This window comes from Homo sapiens, chromosome 2, assembly GCF_000001405.40.
Source record: "Homo sapiens chromosome 2, GRCh38.p14 Primary Assembly".
Taxonomy (NCBI): domain Eukaryota; kingdom Metazoa; phylum Chordata; class Mammalia; order Primates; family Hominidae; genus Homo; species Homo sapiens.
Genome location: NC_000002.12, coordinates 34,332,727 through 34,355,748, shown reverse-complemented (window position 1 = coordinate 34,355,748; position 23,022 = coordinate 34,332,727). Strand labels below are relative to the sequence as shown.

The following is a 23,022-nucleotide window of genomic DNA, read 5'->3' as shown; positions in this document are numbered from 1 at the left end:
ATCTATAAAATGGATAAAACAACAGCCACAATTGTATCTATTTTATAGGATTGTTGTGAGGAATAAACGCATATCTATAAACATTTACTATGGTACCTGCCATATGGTAAGGATTTAATAAATGCTAGTAAGAGATGTATTTAATAATAGAAGATGCATTTAAAACACTTAGCAACTAGTTTTGTCCATTTTAAGTGCTTACTACAGAGAATATTACATAGTTTTGTTTTCTTTTTCTTTGCTTCCAACACTTATATACCCCTAGTTTTTGAGGTATTAACAACCCCATGTTGTTGAGTATGAGGTATTAGGAGTGCTGTCTGGTGCATAGCAGACACCAAATGAATGTTTGTTAAGTCCATCATAATGCAAAGAAGTGAAAGTAAGTTTTATTTCAGCTTTTTAAATGTAAAGTCTTTAGGATGTCATCAATGATTTCATTGTTCTGAACTCTTGTTCCATAGTATTACAATGATGCATGTAATAGTACAAAATCCATAGATAACAAAGGGATCTCCCTCTACATTCAGCATTCAGAAAGAGCCAGCTAAACAGAAAACTAGGTTCCAAGCATTTTGGGAGAGAGACACTGCTTAGAATAATTTAAGCACTCCACTCCAATAATTTAAGTATTACAAAGCCTAGGTGTTTTCAAAGTGAGACAAATATTATGAATATTAATAACAGCTGAATTAAAGATTGCATAAAAAGGATTCTATTCTTCAGAAATACATTAACTCTATTACCAACAAAGTGTTGTAGGTAGAGTTTTAATTAAGACTAACCAAAGGAATAAGAATCATATGAAATTATCTGATCCATTTTTTATAAAAATCGTTGTTAATAATATATTTACAGATTCCTCTTTATAGATTACTGCAGCAAGTCTTCTTATGAGTAGCAAATATGCATTTTATTTGCAAACTTTTTTCATTTCTTAAAATGTGTAGAAGAATTTTAACGCTGAACTTCAAGTGAGATCTAAATTAATATTGCTCTATTCATTGGCCCCTCTGAAAACTAAAGCTGGACAAAAATGGAAAGGATTATTGTATAAAGTATTACATTTCCTGATGGGTAGAACTAGTGAGAATGAATAACTATTTTTAAGGAATATTGTAGAAGCAAAAAAACGTCTATATTGGGTGGGAATTTGAACATAACCTACTTTGAAGGTGCTTTCATCTCAACAATTCTGATTTTGAGTCTATTACTTTACTGAATATTAAGCTGTAGTAGTTTTATATGATTGAATTCTTACTCATTGACGGAAGAACTAGAAGCCAATCATTTATAACATGAAGTGTGTTTATTTACCTGAATACTGAATTACATAAGAGAAAAGGCAGTGCTATCTTTCCATCATCAATGCCTCTCACCATTACACCCATTTGGCATTTACTCAAGTCCAATATACATTTTACCATAGATTTATTTGATATTTCAGTGGAGATCATATGTATTATTAATTGCCATGACGACAGCTTTGTAATACTATAGTCCTATTAGAGCTCATTAGTGCCAAATGCTTCCATGAGAATATTCATAATCCATAATGATAAAGCCTAAATGATTATTTTGGTTTTATCCTCTTTTATTATATTTTTCCCTCTAAAGGGATTTGTAATTTTTTTTTTCCTTTGAAGATTCAATTAGTTCAGCTTTTTCTACTTGAGCTATCAGGATTTCTATCAGAAGCAGCATTTCCCTTTCCAAAGAATACAGGTCAACTTCATTTAACAATGTTCAAAGTGTACAAATTGTGTATACGACTCTTTGATTTATTCAGTAAACAAATTGCACTATTGACACAAGGCTTCCTAGTCACCCTATTATTGTGTAAACTTCTATCTCCCCCACTAGATGGCTAAAGTAAATATTCATTCCTGAAAAGAACTTCTGTGATAGTATTTAATGGTGTTTTCTGATCATTTACTAGTCTTTCTTTTTTGCTGAGCTAACTTGCTTTTATCTTCTTACCTTTTCTCCCACTGAGTTTATAGAAACAAACCTCAAGGCAAACAACTGCCATGCAAGTCCATTTATCAGCAGAGGAAAGACAAACAAATTGGCTTTAATCTTAACTCAATTCAATTCAACAAGCATTTATTGAATACCCATTTCATGTCAGGTGCTAAGCCAGCAATCTGGGAAACGAAATTAAACAGTTTCTGTTTTCAGGAAGCTTAGTAGAGAGATAGATATGTAAACACCAAAATACTGTAATGTTTTAAGCATTGCAATATATCCATAATGCAATATGTAATAGTCTATAGGAGGGATTTTAGCATAGTGATAAAAAACATGGGCTCTGGAGGGACTCAGAACCAGATTTCCTAAGTTTGAACCTAGCACCAGCATTTAATATCTATGTGACTTTGAGTAAAAACTTAACTTCTCTGTACCTCACGCTTTTAACCTGTAAAATAAAAACAAAATCATAGTTACTTCATGGGATTGTAAGTTAATATTTATACTAAATACAAATTAGTGAATAAAGTGCTTAACATAGTATATGTCACATACTAGGTGCAATGTCAGTGTTTGTTAAATAAAACAATAAAAAGCTTCTTATTACTTAACAGGTGAGAATAAAAGCGATTCCAGTGGGATACTGGGAAAGGTACTTCAGGTAACTGGTGTCACTTAATAAGGGTCCTTAGAAATGAATCACATCGGCCGGGCGACGTGGCTCACGCCTGTCATCTCAGCACTTTGGGAGGCCAAGGCGGGCAGATCACGAAGTCAGGAGATCGAGACCATCCTGGCTAACACGGTGAAACCTCGTCTCTACTAAAAATACAAAAAATTAGCTGGGCATTGTGGCGGGCGCTTGTAGTCCCAGCTACTCGGGAGGCTGAGGCAGGAGAATGGCGTGAACCCGGGAGGCGGAGCTTGCAGTGAGCCGAGATGGCGCCACTGCACTCCAGGCTGGGCAACGGAGCGAGACTCCGTCTCAAATAAATAAATAAATAAATAAATAAATAAATAAATAAATAAATACATAAATACATAAATAAATAAAATAAAATAAAATAAAATAAAATAAAATAAAATAAAATAAAATGAATCACATCTTCCAAAAAGCACAAGAAGGAAGAAAGCATAAATAAAGGCACCTTGGTGTGCCAAATCCTTAGAATAGTCAGTAAAGGGTTAGTTTGCTACTGCAGATAGAAGAAAGATTTCATGAAATAGGATCTGGAGCCGGTCTCGGGTCTCGGTGGCTCACGCTATAATCCCAGCACTTTGGGAGGCAGAGGCGGGCAGATCACTTGAGGCCAAGAGTTCAAGACCATCCTGGTCAACATGGTGAAACCCGTCTTTACTAAAAATACAAAAAATTAGCTGAGTGTGGTGGTAGATGCCTGTAATCCAAGCTACTCGGGAGGCTGAGACAGGAAACTCGCTTGAACAGGGTAAGCGGAGGTTGCAGTGAACCGAAATCGCCCTGCCACCCTCCAGCCTGGGCTACAGAGCAAGACTGTCTCAAAAAAAATTAAAAAAAAAAAAAAAATAGAAAAAAAAAGAGTCTGGGCAGGAGGATGGGAACAAGTTGTGAGGAAGCACGTTTAAGGACTTTAGAGTTAAAAAAAGTTTGTGGGTACATAGTAGGTGTATATATTTATGGGGTGCATGAGGTGTTTTGATACAGGCATGCAATGTGTAATAATCACATCAATTTCTAAGCAATGGAGAACTTTCTAACTTAGTGAGTGGTGTGATTAGATTTAGATTTTAGAAAAATAATTTTGGTTATCATATAGAAGATGAATTGGAACAACAGGTTCTGATGATATAATGACCAGTTATTAGACCACTGTAATAGTACAAAAGGAGATATACTGGGATAGGAAAGCCAGATGCTATTAATGGAGAAGGAAATGAGGACTCATGGCCCCATCCTGGTAGAAGGTGGGAACTTTCTCATAATAGAATGTCCAATCTCCTCCTAGAGAGAAATTAACATACCCAGAAAAATGCTCAACCAATTTGCTGCTAGACGTTAATGGATTAAGATCCCTTCTGGGAAACTTGTTACCTACGTATATAGCTAATTGTCAGTCAAGAGTAATGGCATTTAAACAGCAATTCTCTTTTTTTTTGTATCCAGTTATCAGGGTTATCTAACAAATAAAATGCCTCAACCAAGAGAGGATTTTTAAATTAATCTTCTTAAGTTTCCTTCCTTAGTGAAATTTGAAATAAAATTTGACACATCTGTCACCAAACTGTCAGAAAAAAAATCTTGACAAAGAAAGCAGCAATTGGCCAGGCGTGGTGGCTCACGCCTGTAATCCAAGCACTTTGGGAGGCTGAGGCAGGCGGATCACCTGAGATCAGGAGTTCGAGACCAGCCTGGGCAACATGGTGAAGCCCCTTCTCTATTAAAAATACAAAAATTAGCCAGGCGTGGTGGCACACACCTATAATCCCAGCTACTCAGGAGTCTGAGGCAGAAGAATCGCTTGACAGTGGGAGGTGGAGGTTGCAGTGAGCTGAGATCGTGCCACTGCACTCCAGCCTGGGCAACACAGCAAGACTCCATCTCAAAAAAAAAAAAAAGAAAGAAAGAAAGCAGAAATTTGGAGGAAAATGGTGTCCTTTGTTGAAAACTTTTGTGCTGAAAAAACTTGCAGGAGACACCAATAGAGAGAAGGATGGTGATAATAGCTACTATTTATTGATTGCCCAATATGAAAAGCATTATGCCAAGTATTTACTTATCTTTAATCTCACAATAATCCTGCAACTAATATCACTATTCCAAATTTATGGTTGCAAATACTAAAGATAAATGATTAAACTTAACCAAAACCACTTAACTAGTAGGTTATTGAAATAAGATTCTCATCCTGGTCCCTTGATGTCAAGTTGTGTACAAATTCCATTATGTCAAACTCACTCTGGTGTCTGGAGATTAGGGAAGATTATATATAGTATTGTCTTAAATATAGTTAATTATCTATCAGAATTATTCTGTCTCTATGAAACATATAATATTAAAACATTTACTCCATTTCTCAAGCCAAATTTTAAAATTAGAGAGCAGGGTAGCTGTATAGCAGAGTGATCAAGTGTACAGCTTTAGAGACTCAGGAAGACCCAGGTTTGAATTCGTGACTTTGAAAAACTTACTATATCTCAATATTCTCCCTGTAAGATGAAGATAACATTTGTCCCATAAGATTACTGTGCATATATAATCAAAGAATATTTGCCAATAATTTTGTACAGTGCTTGACAAATTGTAAACAATCAAGGGTAGATCTCATCAAGAGTAGCTACTATTTTTTTTTTTTTTTTTGAGCTGGAGTTTCACTCTTGTTGCCCAGGCTGGAGTGCAATGGCGCAATCTTGGCTCACTGCAACCTCTGCCTCCCAGGTTCAAGAGATTCTCCTGCCTCAGCCTCCATAGTAGCTGGGATTATGGGCACCTGCCACCACACCTAGCTAATTTTTTGTATTTTTAGTAGAGACGGGGGTTTCACCATTTTAGCCAGGCTGGTCTTGAACTCCTGACCTCAGGTGATCTGCCTCCTTTGGTCTCCCAAGAGTAGCTACTTTTAATGGTAACTTTGGTCAGTAATATTTTTGTGGGGATACATGCTTGAGAAGACAGTTAAAAAACACCTAATTGCAAAAAGTTAATTTTTTTTTCAGGAAAAATTGCTTGCCTAAAGTCAGATACAAATATATTTTACAGTTTAAAATGCATTTTATCTTCGGCTTATGTAAAACTCTCTAAGAAATGTCAAGTAACCTAGTATTATATTTAGGACAAAAATAGAGTAATTAAAATGTACTATGATACAGACTTTAAAATGCTGCTTCATATAAAATCAGACCAAGCTTTATTTCTGTATTTGATTTTGACAGCTACATATATGATTGAACCCAAATCAACTTCTTGCAGATGTAGCATCGCTGTTGAACCAGATTGCCAGTGGACATGTTTGTGTCCCAGCTCTTTGTCAGAGCATGAGGTACTGGCATAAGTAGGGGCCTGACAGTCAGGGTTCTATTTCTGGCTTTGTCACTAACTAGTCATGTGACCTCAGACAGCTTCCAACTTCTCTAGACTCAGTATCTATATCTGTAAAATGAGATGCTTGGAATTAAGAATTGCAAGAAATCAACTGCTTTAATATACTATGAGCCTGTTATAGCAGAAATAATACACTAGAAAAAATTGTAATGTGGCATATTTTGGACAGACTGTTCCCTTTGAAGACAACATGGCTAGTACAAGATAAGAAAACAAGATGGGGATTTAGTCAGGAGGAAATGAGCAGTTTGAAAAATTTTACTTAATGAGGCTGACAACCATCCTAGACATTCCTAAACCAAGATACTTTCTCAGCCATCTGTCATCAACCCATCTACAGAAAGCCTTCCTAACCTCCCTAATGGGCCTCATACATTTATGTATTGAATGTGCTTACAAATTCCCACTGGCTCTTATTCTTCAAAAACCTTTCGGTCTACTTAAATATGGCAAGCATTCTCAAAGATAATACAATTCCCTTTAATCACTAGGGAAAAACACTACTCTGGTTTTAGCTTTACTGATAATTTTATAGCATATACCTGAGATATGTAAAATCTCAACAATTACACACACACACACACACAAACACACACACTGTAGCCACACACAGAGACCAAGGTGACCAGAATGTTGATGAATTATGTTGTCAGATCACTTTGACCAAGGAGCAACTAGTTTGCAAGAACCATCCCTTACACAGGTGTGTCTTGGGAATCTAACAATTTTGCATGACTAGCAATATTTGTTATTTCACTCATATACTTAATACGTATTTATTGCGCACTAGTCATTGCTCTAGGTCCTGGGAAAGCACCATGAAATAAACAGATGAAATATTCTATTCTTCTTCCACTCTGGTGTACAGAAATAGTTTATGATGTCAGGATTGTGACTGCTTGGGAGTTCTAATTAGTCTACCTTCTGGGCTATTTTTATATTTGTATCTCCATACTATTCCTTACCACCACTATCCCTTCCCAGAAAATTGCAAGAATTACTTTGAGAAGCATTGATGGAACCACAAAATTAGAAGGTATTCTAAAAGTATTGCAAACACTTCAGAATGGGAGCCTAATAAACATCAGGCCAGCATTCATTTTCTCTTGTTCCCTACCCAGAAAAACTATAAAGGTATAGACTTAGCCCATGAAACTACTATCTACTATATAGCTTATATTGCGGTGCCACTGGGGAGAGAAAGGCAAAAACACACTCTGACTTTAAGGTACTTTTTGTAGTCTAGTGGTGAAGAGAGGAGTTAAAAAAAATAAGTACAGTACTAATGTGATGGGGAATTATTAGATTGAGTTATTTCTACTCCAGAGTCATCTACAGTGGTTAGCTTAGTTACAAGGTAAGTTGATTTGGGAATTAAAATCGAAGCAAAATTGCATTCTCAGTTTGAAACCCAAACCATAATCTATCTGAATTTCAAATTGACCTTCTAGTTGACCCAGCATTCTGATCTTTGATGAGGTATGGTATAATCCAAAGTGAGGTCAGCTTTCTGTAGACATGGAAGAGCTGTTCAGGACACGGGAATTCTAAGTTCAGTTCAGTGGCCTTTGGTTCAGGGTCCTGTAAACATAACTACCTAACACTAACTAACGTGAGCAGACAGACTGTATGTTAAAAAGACAAGAAGGCTGGGTGCGGTGGCTGGCGCCACCACTTTGGGAGGCTGAGGCGGGTGGATCACCTGAGGTCAGGGGTTCGAAACCAGCCTGACCAACATGGCAAAACCCCGTCTCTACTAAAAATACAAAATTAGCTGGGCGCGGTGGTGCATGCCTGTAATCCCAGCTACTTGGAAGGCTGAGGCGGGAGAATCGCTTGAACCTGGGAGGCAGAGGTTGCAGTGAGCCGAGATTGTGCCACTGCACTCCAACCTGGACAAGAGCGAAATTTCGTCTCAAAAAAGAAAAAAAAGACAAGAAGAAGTTTGTTCTGATCCACATTATTACACATCTATTAAGCATTTGCTCTGTTCTCAGCCTTGTGGTAGGGAGAAGTGAAATCAAAAAGGGGAGCATATCATTGATCCCTGCCCTCAAATTGCTTGTAATCTAGTTTAGAAGAGAATGCATATATATACAACTAGGAAATGATGTCCTATCAAAAATAAATTCAGCATCTGCTGTGGCCTAGACATCTTCATGTATTATCTTTGACAACTCTAATAGAAATCTTGTGAGTTAGGTAATACTATGTCCCTTTTACAGATGGTAAAAATGTCTAGAAAAGCTAAAAATTAAGCTGTAAATTCATACCAGTAAGTTTTTTAAATGGGGGGAAAAATGTAGATTCCCTATCTGTCAACTCCTAAGATTGCAAATGCTGTGGAACTAAGTTTTTTGTCAGCAATATAAAGACAGTGGGCTAGAATTAGTGGCTGTGCCTTAGAATAATCTGATGTTTTGTGGAGAATACAGATGCCTGGGCCTCTACCATGTAGATTCTGTTTTATCAGATGTGAAAAAGTAAACTGCCTAGGAATCAGCATTTTGCAAAGGGCTCCAGGTAAAATAAATATTTGCAGTAGTTTTTACCAATTGAGCATTCTTAATTTAAAAATCCCAAATCTGAAATGCTCCAATGAACATTTCCTCTGAGGGTCATGTTGGTGCTCAAAGGATTTTGGATTTTGGAGCATTTCAAATTTAGGGATAGTCAACCTGTATTTAGGAATGAGTGAACTAGCACGTTGCAGGTTACAGAATGATCTAGGGATCAGCAGCACTGTACTTACTTGGGAGCTGGTCAGAATTGCAGAAACTTGAGCCCTACACCAGATGTGCCAGGTCAGAATCCATATTTTAATAAGACCTCTAGTTGATTTGTATGGCACGGCAATCATTATTAAGTACAGATGACTCTTGGCTGAGCACAGTGGCTGACACCTGTAATCCCAGCACTTTGGGAGGCTGAGGCAGGTGTATCACCTGAGGCTGGGAGTTGGAGACCAGCCTAGCCAACATGGTAAAACCCCGTCTCTACCAAAAATACAAAAATTAGCTGGGCGTGGTAGTAGTACATGCCTATAGTCCCAGCTACAGAGCTACAGAGCCAGACTCTGCCTCAAAATTAAATAAATAAATAAATAAATGTAAATAAATAAAAATAGAAGTATAGATGACTCTTTTACAGTTAAATTTTACATTCCTGGCACTAAGAGCTATCAAAATCCTAAAATGAAAAGTTAAAGTGGGCTAACCTAATTAATATAATCCTGTAGGAGGAAGCAGGGTTAAAACTGAATAGAATTTGGAATGGCAGACAGGAAGGGGAAACGCATTTGGAATTCTGGAAGACAACAGCACTGAAAACACAGGATGGACCTAAACCCAGAGACTCACGGGCTGATAAATAAATGAATTGAAAGAGAAGCTTTTATAGTCTCCTTCAAGACCCAGCCTAAATGCTTTGGGTAAGTCTCTTTTCTTCAGTGTCTTATCTGCAATAAGAACATATTTATAGGATGAAAATCCTGATTCTATTTCCCACACTGTAGGATAGAAACTTCAATAGGCAACTCCCTTCAAGGGAAAGCCAATATTTTAAAACCACTGTCTTGCTATATTCAGGGTTCTTGATTTGCTATGAACATTCAGAGGCAATGTGGTGAGGTTATATTGAAAACTTCGATTTTCCTTTTGATTTTGAAACAGAAAGACCCTTTGGTAACACTGCTTACTGACTGGCTATGAAGTGGTGGCTTGGCTGCAGCTCTGCTGAGGATGCCAGAGAACAGGACAGTACCAGAAAACGCTGCTCTATCTGAAATCAGTAAGGCCAAGGCAGGAAATGCTTAAAACATTTCAGGATAGGGGAAGCACAGTCTGAAGTGATGGGACATACAGATAAAGGGCTGAGTGAGACACCTGCACCTATGAAGAGGTGACAGACTTGAGTGCCAACAGGTCCTATGATCCTAGTTGCAGATAGACATTTTGAACAAAGCAAATTTCCATCAATAAGTTTATTTAAATGGATGCAAACTAAAGCACTAGATATTTAACAGGTGTGATGTAAGGACTGAATTGAGAGAAATAAAGGACAACAGTAAGTAAGGAAGTTTGTATTTTGTAAGTAGCCATGCATAAAATAATCAGCTCCTGATTTGCTCAATTATTTCTACTATTCCCTTTCTAAATTCCCCTGGGTTGTCAGGATCCCCTAGGCCTCTCAGTTTTCTCTTAAATGTCACTAGAACCTCTGCTCAGAATTACAACCTAATTACAACATACACATTTGGGGATACTTTTATGTTAAGAATTTGTGCAAATTTAACAAATGAAACCAGATGAATTGAAGCAAGGAGAACCACATGAGAAACATAATGTAAATGCAGAGATAAAGAACATTAGGCAATATTCCCAACACTTTCTCCTTTAGCATTAAGTGTTTATCAGGGCTGCACGCTGCAATAATGGTGACTAATGTTGCATAGTATAATGGAAAATGATTGAGTGATGTATTAGAGCAGTAGCTACACATTTGAGTGTGCACTTAACAGCTTGGCTGGTTTTAATACATGCCATAATTACAGATACTAAGTTGGCAGGTTTCGTTAAAAATGGTTAAGTAATTACTGAAATAAAATGCAACATGGTTAAATCTTTTTAATCTTAATACTACTTCCCCCTATTAACATGTGAAACACCTTTGCTGCTCTTCAGCATAATGATTTCGATGTAAAATTTCACTTAGGCCCTAGGACAGCGCCATAGGTATTCTGCTAATTAAAGAGCAAAGCACAGCTTCATTATACTGGTGGCACAAATAGCACTCGCTTTGGCTTTCTACATTGTCCTATGCTGGAGAGACTTGATATGACTTAATAGTCACTTCAAATCTAATCAGTGAGGTGATATGAAATGAGGATTTACATGGTTTTTTTACGTTCCAGGTCCTAAAGTAATTGTGGTCTTTTGCTGTTCAAGGTCAAAGCCTTTTTCCTCCTTATAGGCCAGTTTCAAGCTCATTTTAAACCAATTCCCACTCCCCTCTAATCTGTGACAAAAAGGTAAGCACTGATTTTTTAACTTCAATTCCTTCCAACAAGCCAATCTAGTGAAAGAAATATATCCCAGAAAGTAAACCTTAAGGTAAATATCTACTAAACTAATTATATTTACCTAACGACTTTTATTTCAAAATTGGATACGCAGTTCTGGGCAAATGTTTAAAACTTAAAAGTGGTTTGAAAATGCCTGAAAATACAACAAACCCTTAAGATATACTTATTAGATTAAAATACAGAGATGTAGTAAAACATTTTCTATAGTACTGTCTCCCTAAATATTAACAACGTAAATACCAGAAATGAACATATGAAATAGCTCCAGTCTATGACTATATAATCATTCTCTTTTCCCTATCCATTGTTTATCCAGGATTGTAGAAACTCCCTAAAGCTTCAGCAATTTGCTTTGATTTTTCATATCTTTTAAAGCTGCTTTAATAGCGCCAATGCTACTTTTAAAATAATAATTTTTTTCTTTCTTTATCACTTCCCTGTAGATGACCACATTTTAGCTTCCAAGATAACTGTATTTAGCAGTAATATTTAGAAATTCATAATTTTCTGGTTGAAATGAATAATCAAATCTATATCACATTCCAACAAAATATTTATGTAACTAATTAATGTTATATTGACATTTTAATGAGTAGATAGATTTTAATAATACCTCTTGGTTGTCTTAAAGTCACAAGTGTCTAAAACATATACTAGTTTCAATGTATATTTTTGCTTTTAACATCTGAAAGATATAAAGTCCTAATCTCTACACAATTGCTCTATAATCTAATACACACACACATATATATGCATATGTGATCCATTATGCATATATATGTATAAATTAGAACACATAGAATTTGTGTAGAAATTAGGGCTTTCTTTGTACCTCAAGGTCATTATATTTGATTATTATTAAGCACTAAGAAGGAATGTACTGGATCCTTTCATTGTCTACCACTTGGTTAATGCCTAGTAAAGATTAGAAGAAAACAAAAATATCAGTAATAGCCTAAGTTTATATGATTTTTAATCGAATGTTGTATTTATAAAGAGTTGGCAAAACAAAGACATATTTGTTAAATGTGGAAATTACTTTATTGTTTTTGGATAAATACCCTAACACCCACCACAAAAAGAAGAGAAATTCTGCCAGGATGACAGCTAATGACAGAACCAGAAATGAGATTCAGATAGAGACACAATACCTCTAAATTCCTGAAGAAGACGCTACTCCTTGGGGTTAAATTGATAATGATTGGTGAGTTACTCCTATTTATTAAAGTCATAAAGAATAAATATTTACTATTATTAAAGAAGTAAAAGAGTGATACCCTTGTTTTTGAAACTGGTCCCGTTTACAGGGGAAATCTGTCTCTTCAATGAAATTAATCTAATCTTTTAAATTAATCAAGACTATTCCCCGTAGAGGGCATGCTAAGTGATTGTTTGCTTATTGACATCTAGAACTGTAGCCAACCTCAGAGTCTAGCATTTAACATTATCTCCATTGAAGCTTTATTGAGTCAGCTGGTGTACTGGCACAAGATACAATAAAGAGTGTTAATAAATCAAAGAGAAGAAATTTACACATTCTCTATTTTGTAGAAGGTATTTTTTAAAAGCAAGTCAGCTATAAGAACTACTGAATAGCTTTATGAGCATTCGATGAGAACCTACTGATTAGACCATTGCTGCGCTATAAAGTTTTTTCCAACAAAGTAGAGAAAAGTAAATCTCCAACTCCAGGGGTCTACCATTAAATGTGAACCACGAGACTAACAGCACAAACTGCCTTTGAATTTTTGGGTTGGATCTTAAAAACTTATTACCACTCTGTAATTCATCTTTTCATTTTAGTGTAAATAGATGTGTTAGTCCAGATCCTCTGTGAAGCTTATGCCAAAACAAGACTAAACATGCAAGAGGTTTATAAGGAGAAGTACCTGTGAAGGAAATTGGGAAGGGACTCAAGGAAGACCAGGCGAGCTGTTAGATCACATGCAGATCTGGCCTTGTAAAGGAGAGGGGGAAGGAAGGAAGATGGGTGTTAGAGCCTTAGAAGGCATTGCAGTTCCAAGGAAGTCGTTGATCCAAAGTCACCTTTCAGAAAGGTCCCCCATTCCTCTATAATGGGCCTGTCTTATCCCTGCCAGGCTCAGTCATTGTCTGGGAGCAGTCCATAGGAAGTGGACTATTGGTGGGAACACAGTGATGATGTCAAAATTCAGAAGCTGGGGTTCTCAGTAAGTAGTACTCTTTGCGGTTGAATATCTGAAAGGCATATTTTCATAGCTTCTATCGTAGAGTAATTTAAACCAATAAGTGATAGAACAGAACATTTTCGGTGTGAGATACAATTAAGCTAACAATATTAATTTCAGATGACATATGACCCTGCCTATAGAAATCTTGCTCTTTCTGTTGGTGTTATTACTGTCTTATGATAAACCACATTTTTTTATGGATGTACAATTCACTAGTGTTCAATACATTCACAATGTTGTGAGCAATCACCTCGATCTAGCCCTAAAACATTTCATCATCTCAAAAGGAATCCCCATTTTCATTAAAAAGGCACTTCATATTTTATCTCCCCCAACCCACATTCCAAACCCTGGCCACTAATCTGCTTTCTCTCTCTATGGATTGGCCTATCCTAGATATTTCACATATGAAATCAAAATATGTGAACTTTTGTGGCTGACTTTTTCCACTTAGCATAATGTTTTACAAGTTCATCCACGCTGAAACAACTGTAAGTACTTCATTCATTTTATGTCTGAATAATACCATTGTATAACACTATATATACCACGTTTGCTTATTAATTCATTATTCAATAGACACTGGATTGTTTCTATCTTTTGGCTGTTGTCAAGGGTGCTGCTCTGAATATTTGCTCACAAGTATTTGTTACAATACCTGTTGTGAATTTTTTGAGGTATATACCTAGGAGTTAAATTGCCGGGTCTTATGGTAGTTCTATGGTTAACTTTAGAGGAACCCCCCAATGTGTCTTCCACAGCAGTTTCACCATTTTACATTCCCACCTGCAATGTGCAAGGCTCTAATTTCTCCAGATCCCTACCAGTGTTTGTTATTTTTCATGTTTTCAACTATAGCCATCATCGTGGATGTAAAGGGATATCTCATTATTGCTTTGATTTGCATTTCTGTAATGACTGACAAGGTTGAGCACATTTGCTTGTACTTGTTGGCCATTTGTCTATCTTGTTCAGAGAAATGTCTATTAAAATTATTTGCCTATTTTAATTGGGTTGTTTGTCTTTTCATTCCTGAGTTCTAAGGGTCCTTTATATATTCTGGATACTAGATGATATGGTTTGGCCCTGTGTCCCTACCCAAATCTCATCTTGAATTGTAATCCCCACATGTCAAGGGAGGGACTTGGTAGGAGGTGATTTGATCATGGGGGTGGTTTCCTGCATGCTGTTCTCATAAAAGTGAGTAAGTTCTCACAAGATCTGATGGTTTAAAAGTGTGGCACTTCCCTTTGCTCTCTGTCTCTTTCCTGCTGCCATGTAAGGTGTGCCTTGCTTTCCCTTCACCTTCCACCATAATTGTTAAGTTTCCTGAGGCCTCCCATGCCATGTGGGACTGTGTGTCAATTAAAACCTCTTTTGCTTATAAATTACCTAGGCTCAGGTAGTTCTTTATAGCAGTGGGAAAATGGACTAATATACTACATTCTTATCCACTATAAGACTTGCAAATATTTTCTCACTCTAGGTTCTTTTTACTTACTTAATAATGTTGTTTGATACACAGAAGTTTTCCATTTTGAATTCTATTTGTTCCTTGGGATGTTTGTGGTTTTGGTGTCATATCTAAGACTACATTGCCAAATCCAAGGTCATGAGGATCTACTTCTATGTTTTATTCTAAGAGTTTTATAGATTTGCTCTTTCATTTAGTCTCTCTGTCCCTTCAGATCTACATAAGGCAAACGTTGTATGTATTTAGGTGCTCTAATGTTGGGTGCATATATATTTATCAATGTCCTATTCTCTTCATTAATTGACCCCTTTATCATTGTATAATTGGCCTTCTTGTTTTATAGTTGTTGACTTATAAACTTTTTATCTGATGTAAGTATAGCTACCTCTGATGTCTTGAGGTTTCAATTTGCATGAAATATATTTTTCAATCCTTTCACTTTCAGTCTGTGTGTCCTGAAAGGTGAAGGCAGCATATAATTTGTTTGTTTGTTTTTGTCCATTCAGTCACTGTATGTCTTTTTATTGGAGAATTTAATCCATTAAGCAATGGGGTTAATTATTTGTAGGTAAGAACTTACTGTTGCCTTTTTGTTAATTGTGTTCTGATTGTGCTATAGATCTTCCGTTCCCATATTCCTCTCTTGCTGTCTTCCTTCATGATCGGGTGATTTTTCTCTAGTGGTATGTGGTATGCCTTTATTCCTTACTTTTTCTATTTTGTGGTTCTACTACAGGGTTTTGCTTTGTGGCTACCACAAGCCTGGAAAGCCTTCTTCTGAAGAAAGAGATGTATGAATCAAATACATTCAAAAGCTATTGCTCCAAGGAGTATTATAATAATTTCTTTCACTGCCCTAACATAATCTTCCGATAAACTCGTAAGGTAAAATGTGTTCCCTCTTTTTCTCTCTTTAACCAGCCATTCTTAACAGCTTGTAATGTGAGAAGTTCATCCTGAATCTATATGCTTAAATAGTTAAATGTTATTCGTTATAAAAGAAAACAATATATTAGGACCTAAAAGTATTTGGTCAGCTTGATTTTTAAAAAAACAAAGTATGCCTCAAATATTCATTTCTTTTCTAAAAAAATATGTGGTTGTGGGGAATTTGGAAAATGCTTGTTATGTATACAGTCTTACAGACTCTGGGCTAGTTTAGTGGTATATGCAGATGTTGGGTTAAATGAGAATGACCAGAAAAAAAAAAAAACGGCTGAAATTCAGCTAATAATTGCAGATTAAAGTTAGCGAAAATTTGTCTAGAGGTCGGTGGTGATGGTTCTAATGATTTTGCGAAGGCAATGGAAAAGCTTTTGAAGAACATTTTTAATTTCCCCATCTCTCTGTTCTGTCACATAAAAAATAAGGGATTTTTCAAAGATAAAGACAATTCACATTTTATAGATTTATATGGTACTTCACAGTTTACTAAGTGCTTTCATGTTTTTCCTCTTCTGAAATAAATTAAGGCTTTTTGCAGCTCCAAAATTCTACCACTTTATGTTTTATTGATTCTTTTGCATATGCTTTGGGATTTTTTTTAAATTTAAAACCAACAAATTGAACAGTTTATTTTATCATTGATATGACCTTTCAATTTCTTGCCTTCCTAGAGGTTACTGGAACTATAATATGGACTTTGTTAATAATAACTTCCTGATAATGTAAAAATAGCCATAAAGTATATTTCAAAAGAATTGTCAATTCTAATACCTTGTGAACAACCAAAGCTTAAATAGCTGAAGATGATACGATTGTGGCACAAAGCTCCATATATCATTTTCATTTTCCTTAAAAAATTCCACATGACTGGGAAAATGACCTGGTAATGCAGAAATCTGCTTTCAGATTTCATGATCCTGGGGAATCCATGGAAGACTGAATCACTAAGTCTCAATTACTAAGGAAAAGAACAAAATAATGGCCGTGGCCAGAAGATAATCAAAATGCTTCTACCAACTCAAAACTGATCTCATTTCACAATATTATTTCAAGATTATCACCACTTAAAACAAGCCCCTAAGAAGCTGAAATATTTTAATATGGACTATTTTTAAAATATAAAAAATACCACATGGGAATTTTTCTTTGGAGGGGGCAGGTAAGGCAGGAGGCTGTCTAAAAGCAATGCTAACCATTTTTCTTGTACGGATTTCTATCTGGGAAAGAAGATTTTCCAAGAAGAGATTGTGGTACTCAACACTAACAACTCCCTCTAGACATCAGACATGCTCCTGTTCAGATCTACACACTTTCTTATGACAGCACCTAGAGGAAGAAATGAATGGGATGGAACTTACTGAACAGCTACTATATAGCAGGTGCTCTCTGGGTATAAAAGATCCCAGGCAGACATTCTGGATTTAGGTAGTCATATTGTTTTCTATGTGAATCTTGGATGATCCTAAATGGATCTAAGTATAGTAATTCTAGCTCTTGTCTTTTTTTTTTTTTTTTAGATGGAGTCTTGCTCTGTCACCAGGCTGGAGGGCAGTGGCGTGATCTCGGCTCACTGCAACCTCTGCCTCCCAGGGTCAAGTGGTTCTCCTGCCTCAGCCTCCTGAGTAGCTGGGACTACAGGTGCATGCCACCATGCCAAGCTAATTTTTGTGTTTTTAGTAGGGATGGGGTTTCACCATGTTGGCCAGGACGGTCTCGATCTCTTGACCTCATGATCCGCCTGCCTCATCTTCCCAAAGTGCTGGGATTACCGGCATGGGCCACCACGCCCAGCCTAGCTCTTGTATTTCTATCCACAGATTTATAGGAGAAAGGGTCTGGAAATTCCTTGAGATTTAAATTTGATAAAATTTAAATTTGTGGACTGAAGTGGCTCTTACCAGAAAAAATACTCGAAGAGGGAATTTGTAACAAGAGGAATATGGGGTTTCAAGTGGGGATTAAATCTTGAATCAAGGACCAGAGACTGAGGAAGACAGATGATTCAGAACCTATGAAGCAGCAGATACTGAAACCTAATCTGACGTCACAAACCTGACAGCTACTTTGTGACTCAGGCAAGTGTGTGTGAGGACATGGGACTAACTTCATATACAAATTTAACTCTCAAATTAAACTACCTAAATGTGGCAGAAAATGGAAAGTCAAATAATTTAATTTTTATGGATGTACCCACTCGGTATCATTCTAGAGAGTATCTCTCCCTGGGTAGTGCTGCCTGGGGTTAGAGCAGGGTGACCAGAGTAAAGTAAAACTGTTCTTCCTACACTCTTCAATGCATCTCTTCTTACTTCTGTGCTATTCCCTGGTGCTGTAATCTCACCTGGTTTCTTCAGTTCTTGCAAAGGTATTTTTGTGTGTGGATAGTTAATTGAAATTGACGTTTCTGATGGAGAGTCCTATGCTGCCATCTTGCTAACATTCTAAACTCTATTTTTCTACTTTTATGAACTTTAATATATACCCAATAAAATGGAAAGAATTTTAAATGTGCTGTTTGATAAGCTTTGACAAATGCATATGCTGAATAGCTACCTACATAATCAAGATAGATAATATGCTTCACCTCTTCACCATCAATACTCAAACTCACCTTTTGTTCCAAACAACCATTGATCTGGTTTCTGTCACCAATGATTAGATTTGCCAACTTTAGACCTCCATAGAAATGGAATAACAGAGTATAAAGTTCTGTATCTGACTCCTTTCACTTGATATTCTGTGAGATTTATCCATGAGTATCAAAAGTTCATTCACTTTTTATCTGAATATTATTCCAGTGTATGACTATAGCACACCTTGTATTAATACAGCACAACTTACCTGTTGACATACCACTGCTTCCCAGCTTTTAGTTATTATGAATGCAGCTGTGATAATAAATTTATGTACAAATCTTTTTGTGGGTGTATGCTTTCATTTCTCTTAGGTAAATACTTAAGAATGAAATTGTTGGATCAGAGGGTAGTGTATATAAAACATAAGAACTAATAAAATACTTGCTAAAGTCTATTATTGTAGACTCCCAGAAATGATATATTCAAGTTTCAGTGGCTTCATATTTTTGCCAACTCTTGATATTTTCAATTTTTATATATATTTTAATATAGTCATTCTAGTATATATAAAATGATATCTTACTCTAATTTTATTAATAATTTACATTTCTCTGATGACTAATTATATTGAGCATCTTTTCTTATGCTTATTGGCCATTTGTACATATTGTTAGAACTTTTGTGATTTTTTTTTCTGAGAAATATTTTTATACTCTAAATTTGTGAAGAATTTTTCATATTTTATTCTGTAAGCTTGTAGTTTGAGCTTTTATATTTGGCTCTGTGATCAATTTCAAATTAATTTTTGTCTATTGCATCAGGTAGAAAGAAGTTCAGTTTCACTATTTTCCCATATGGTTGTTCATTTGCTCAGAAGTCTATTTTTTCCACATTTGGTGCCTTGATATCTTTGTCTAAAATCAACTGACTGTATCAATTGAGTCTATAAATGTTCTGATCCATTGATCTATTTTTAAACATTTTTATTCCAATATCACAATAATGAATGCTATAGCTTTTTAGAAAGTGGTCCTCAAACTTTGTTTTCCTTTCCCAAAACTGTTGGAAGTAGTTGGCATTCCTTGCCTAACAGCTGTTTGACTCCAATCTCTTCCTCTACTGTCACATGGCATTTTCTCCTGTGTGTGTCTATCTCTATATGTCTTCTCCCATTTATATAAGAACATTAGCCATATTGAGTTGGGACCTACTCTAATCAAGTATGATCTCATCTTAACTTGATGATATATTCAAAGACTCTATTTCCAAATGAGGTCGCATTTTTAGGAACCAGGGTTAGAACATTAACATGTCTTTTTGAGGAGGACACAACACTAAACTACATTAAACAGGCTCTGAAGCTATAGTTCTAGAGAAAAAAATTATTTAAAACAAAGATGAATTTATTACTTACTCTTTTGTACTAAATTGTGTCAACCAAAATTCACATATTGAAGTCCTAACCCTCAGTACTTCAGAATATAATTGTATTTGGAGATCGGTTCTTAAAAGAAGTTATTAAGTTAAAGTGGGGTTTTTAGAGTGGGCCTTTGTCCAACATGACTTGTTTCCTTACAGAAAGAGATTAAGGCACAGACATCAGAGTCCAAGTCTTGCTGTGAGGACACAGGGAGAAGACAGCCATCTACAAAACAAGGATAGAGCCCCACAATAAAAACCACCCTGCAGCTACCTTGATCTTGAACTTCTAATCTCTAGAATGGTGAGTTAATACATTTTCATTAAGCCACCCAGTCTGTGATACTTTGTTATGACACCCTAGCAAACTAATTCACTCACTATAATAGGTAAAGCTATGCTTGTTTCTCTGAGCAAAATAGAATATTAACCTTATATAGGATTTTTGAACAGTGTGAAACTCAGAGGTTGATGGGCTTTCAGAGGAACAAGTGGACGGGACATCATCCATAGACACAAGGTTAGAGAGGCAAGATTGGTTAACATTTAGAGGTGTGCTTATTAAACTAAATTGAAATAGGATTGCTAATATTTAGGAACAAGGGGTTCACACTGATCAGTTTGCACATTCACTGAGGTGAGTTGTCATTGATTAACTTAACAGGTTTAGAGCAGCTTGGGTAACCACTTGTTAGTTTGACTAAAGAATAAGTACTTTCCTAAGTTTATAGAAACTTTTCTCAGAATTTATAAATCATGGAAAAATAACTCTTAATAATATTGACTATTTATACATAAACATGGTAAATGTATGCATTTATTTAGGTCTCTTTTATTTTCTTACAGCAATATTTTGTATTTTTCTGCACTTTATTTCAAGAAATAACTTGTCAAGGCAAATTTTTGCCTAGTAATCCGTAAGCCATTCAACAAGTCCTAAATCCATTTATATGTGAATTTATTGCATTCCTATTTTATCCAGAATAATTTCTTGGGAAACTACAAAAGGAACTTAAGAGATTATATACAAAATCATAGACATTTGAGAAAATCCAAAGACAGGTATCACTTACATAGTAGACACTCAACTAGATGTTAATGAGTGGAAAGAATGGCAAGAATAGATATTCCAAATGTATGTCAAGCCTTGAAGCCTATTCCGTATCTATATGTTGCTACTTATTTGGATGTTAGTGAAGAGTCTAATTTATAAATGTGGGCTTTATATATCTTCCTCCTCTAATCCTCATCTGGAAGTAATAGCAAATAAAGTAGTACAAAGTCAGAAGGAGGGAATAATAGAAGCATGGGTCTTGCACATCACTCCTAGAATAATGCAGACCATACTGAGTGCTGATTTATTTTCGCTAAGCCAACTCTGCTTTTGTATTTAACTTAAAAGCTCTTTAATGCCAGCAAAGGGCAGGTGGAATTTTCTGCTCAAATATATATTATTGAATTTCTTTAGTCAATAGAATTTAGCAAAATATATGTCATTCATTTCAGCTGGGGGGAGCAAAAGCATTGATTATTACTCATTCTGTACTTATCTGATAAACTATTCAGACCTAATTGTGATAACCATTGGCAATTGGCAATGTAAGAATATCTGAAGCAAGTGCCTGGAGAGCTAGCTGAATTTTAACTATAATGAAAATACATAAACTACTTTTACTGTAATTGTTTTCATTTCCTGGACATTGTGGTGTTCAGGATATGTCATAACTGCTTATATTCTTCAGAACAATGGTGTCCAAAATTTTTTATGCAACATACCTATCTGTAAGAAAAAATATTTATATGTATTTGTGTACATATATGTTATAATTTCTCCAAATTATAATTATTTTTATTTTAAAAAATGTTTGTGGGTAAATAGCAGGTGTACATATTTATGGGGTACGTGAGATGTTTTGATACACGCATGCAATGTGAAATAAATGCATGATGGGGAATGGGGTATCCATCCCCTCAAACATTTATTTTTTGTGTTACAACAATCTAATTATACTTTTAGTTATTTTAAAATGGACAATTAAGTTATGATTGACTATAATCACCCTATTGTGCTACCACGTGGTAGGTCTTATTCATTCTTTCTACTTTTTGTGTAAACATTAACCATCCCCACCTCTCTCTCTCAACCCCCAACTACACTTCCCAGCCTCTGGTAACCATCCTTCTACTCCCTATGTCCATGAGTTCATTGTTTTGATTTCTAGATCCCACAAATAAGTAAGAACATGTGATGTTTGACTTTCTGTGCCTGGTTTATTTCACTTAACATAATGATCTCCAGTTCCATCCATGTTGCTGCAATTGACTGGATCTCATTCTTTTTTTATGGCTGAATAGTACTCCCTTGTGTATAGATACCACATTTTCTTTATGCATTCATCTGTTGAATGGACACAGGTTGCTTCCAAATCTTAGCTAATAGTTCTGCAACAAACATAGGAGTGCAGATATCTCTCTGATATACCAATTTCTTTTCTTTTGGGTACACACCCAGCAGTGGGATTGCTGGATCATATGGTAGCTCAATTTTTAGTTTTTTGAAGAACCTCCAAACTGTACTTCATATTAGGTATGCTAACTTATAATTATTTAAACATTGTATGTATGATATTATGTATGTGTGTATGTGTGTTTGTGTATATATGTATGTGTGTATACATACCATACCTATAAATATACATATATGTTTTGTACATTGTAATACAAACGCAAATATATAAACTAGAATAGGACAACATCAATATGTAAATAGAACTTATAGTATTTTCTTTCCATATACCAATGGATTGTCTTGTGTACATCTCATTTTGGGCATTAGAGGGTCATTGTTCATAGTGGATTAAAGTGAACCCATAGCAAGACTGCCGGTTAACAAAGGAGGTTTAGGCAGTGGCTTTAGTCTCAGCATTTCTAATGCAGCAGCTCTGAAGTGAGGCCTGAGATTTTGCATTTCTGACATTCTTCTTGGTGGTGATGCTGCTGCTGCTCATGAGGTCACTCGTTTAGACCAAAGAGACAGCTTATTAAGGTCTGGTTAAATGATAACCCAGAGGGGAAAAAAAAAAAACCATGCTTCCCTACTCTATTTTTCAATATAAAAAGGTAACTCTATATTAAAGTATGTAAATATTAAACAACTAATTTCCTCAAATGACCTACAAATGAATATATTTTCTATAATTGGAGAAATCCTTGTAAAAATAGTGAATTCTAAACCAAAACCGTGAGTAAAGCAGATCAGGAACCAC

At 35.7% G+C, this 23,022-nt stretch overlaps 1 long non-coding RNA gene across 1 annotated transcript in view; it reads left to right on the top strand.

Moving 5' to 3' along the window:
• The first annotated feature begins 12,090 nt into the window (after positions 1-12,090).
• Positions 12,091-23,022, top strand: part of LOC105374457 (uncharacterized) — a 37,371-nt gene continuing 26,439 nt past the window's right edge. The window contains exons 1-4 of the long non-coding RNA XR_939952.1: positions 12,091-12,336; positions 13,232-13,321; positions 15,553-15,701; positions 19,916-20,060. This is a non-coding gene — a long non-coding RNA (uncharacterized LOC105374457). The remainder of the gene's footprint in view (positions 12,337-13,231; positions 13,322-15,552; positions 15,702-19,915; positions 20,061-23,022) is intronic.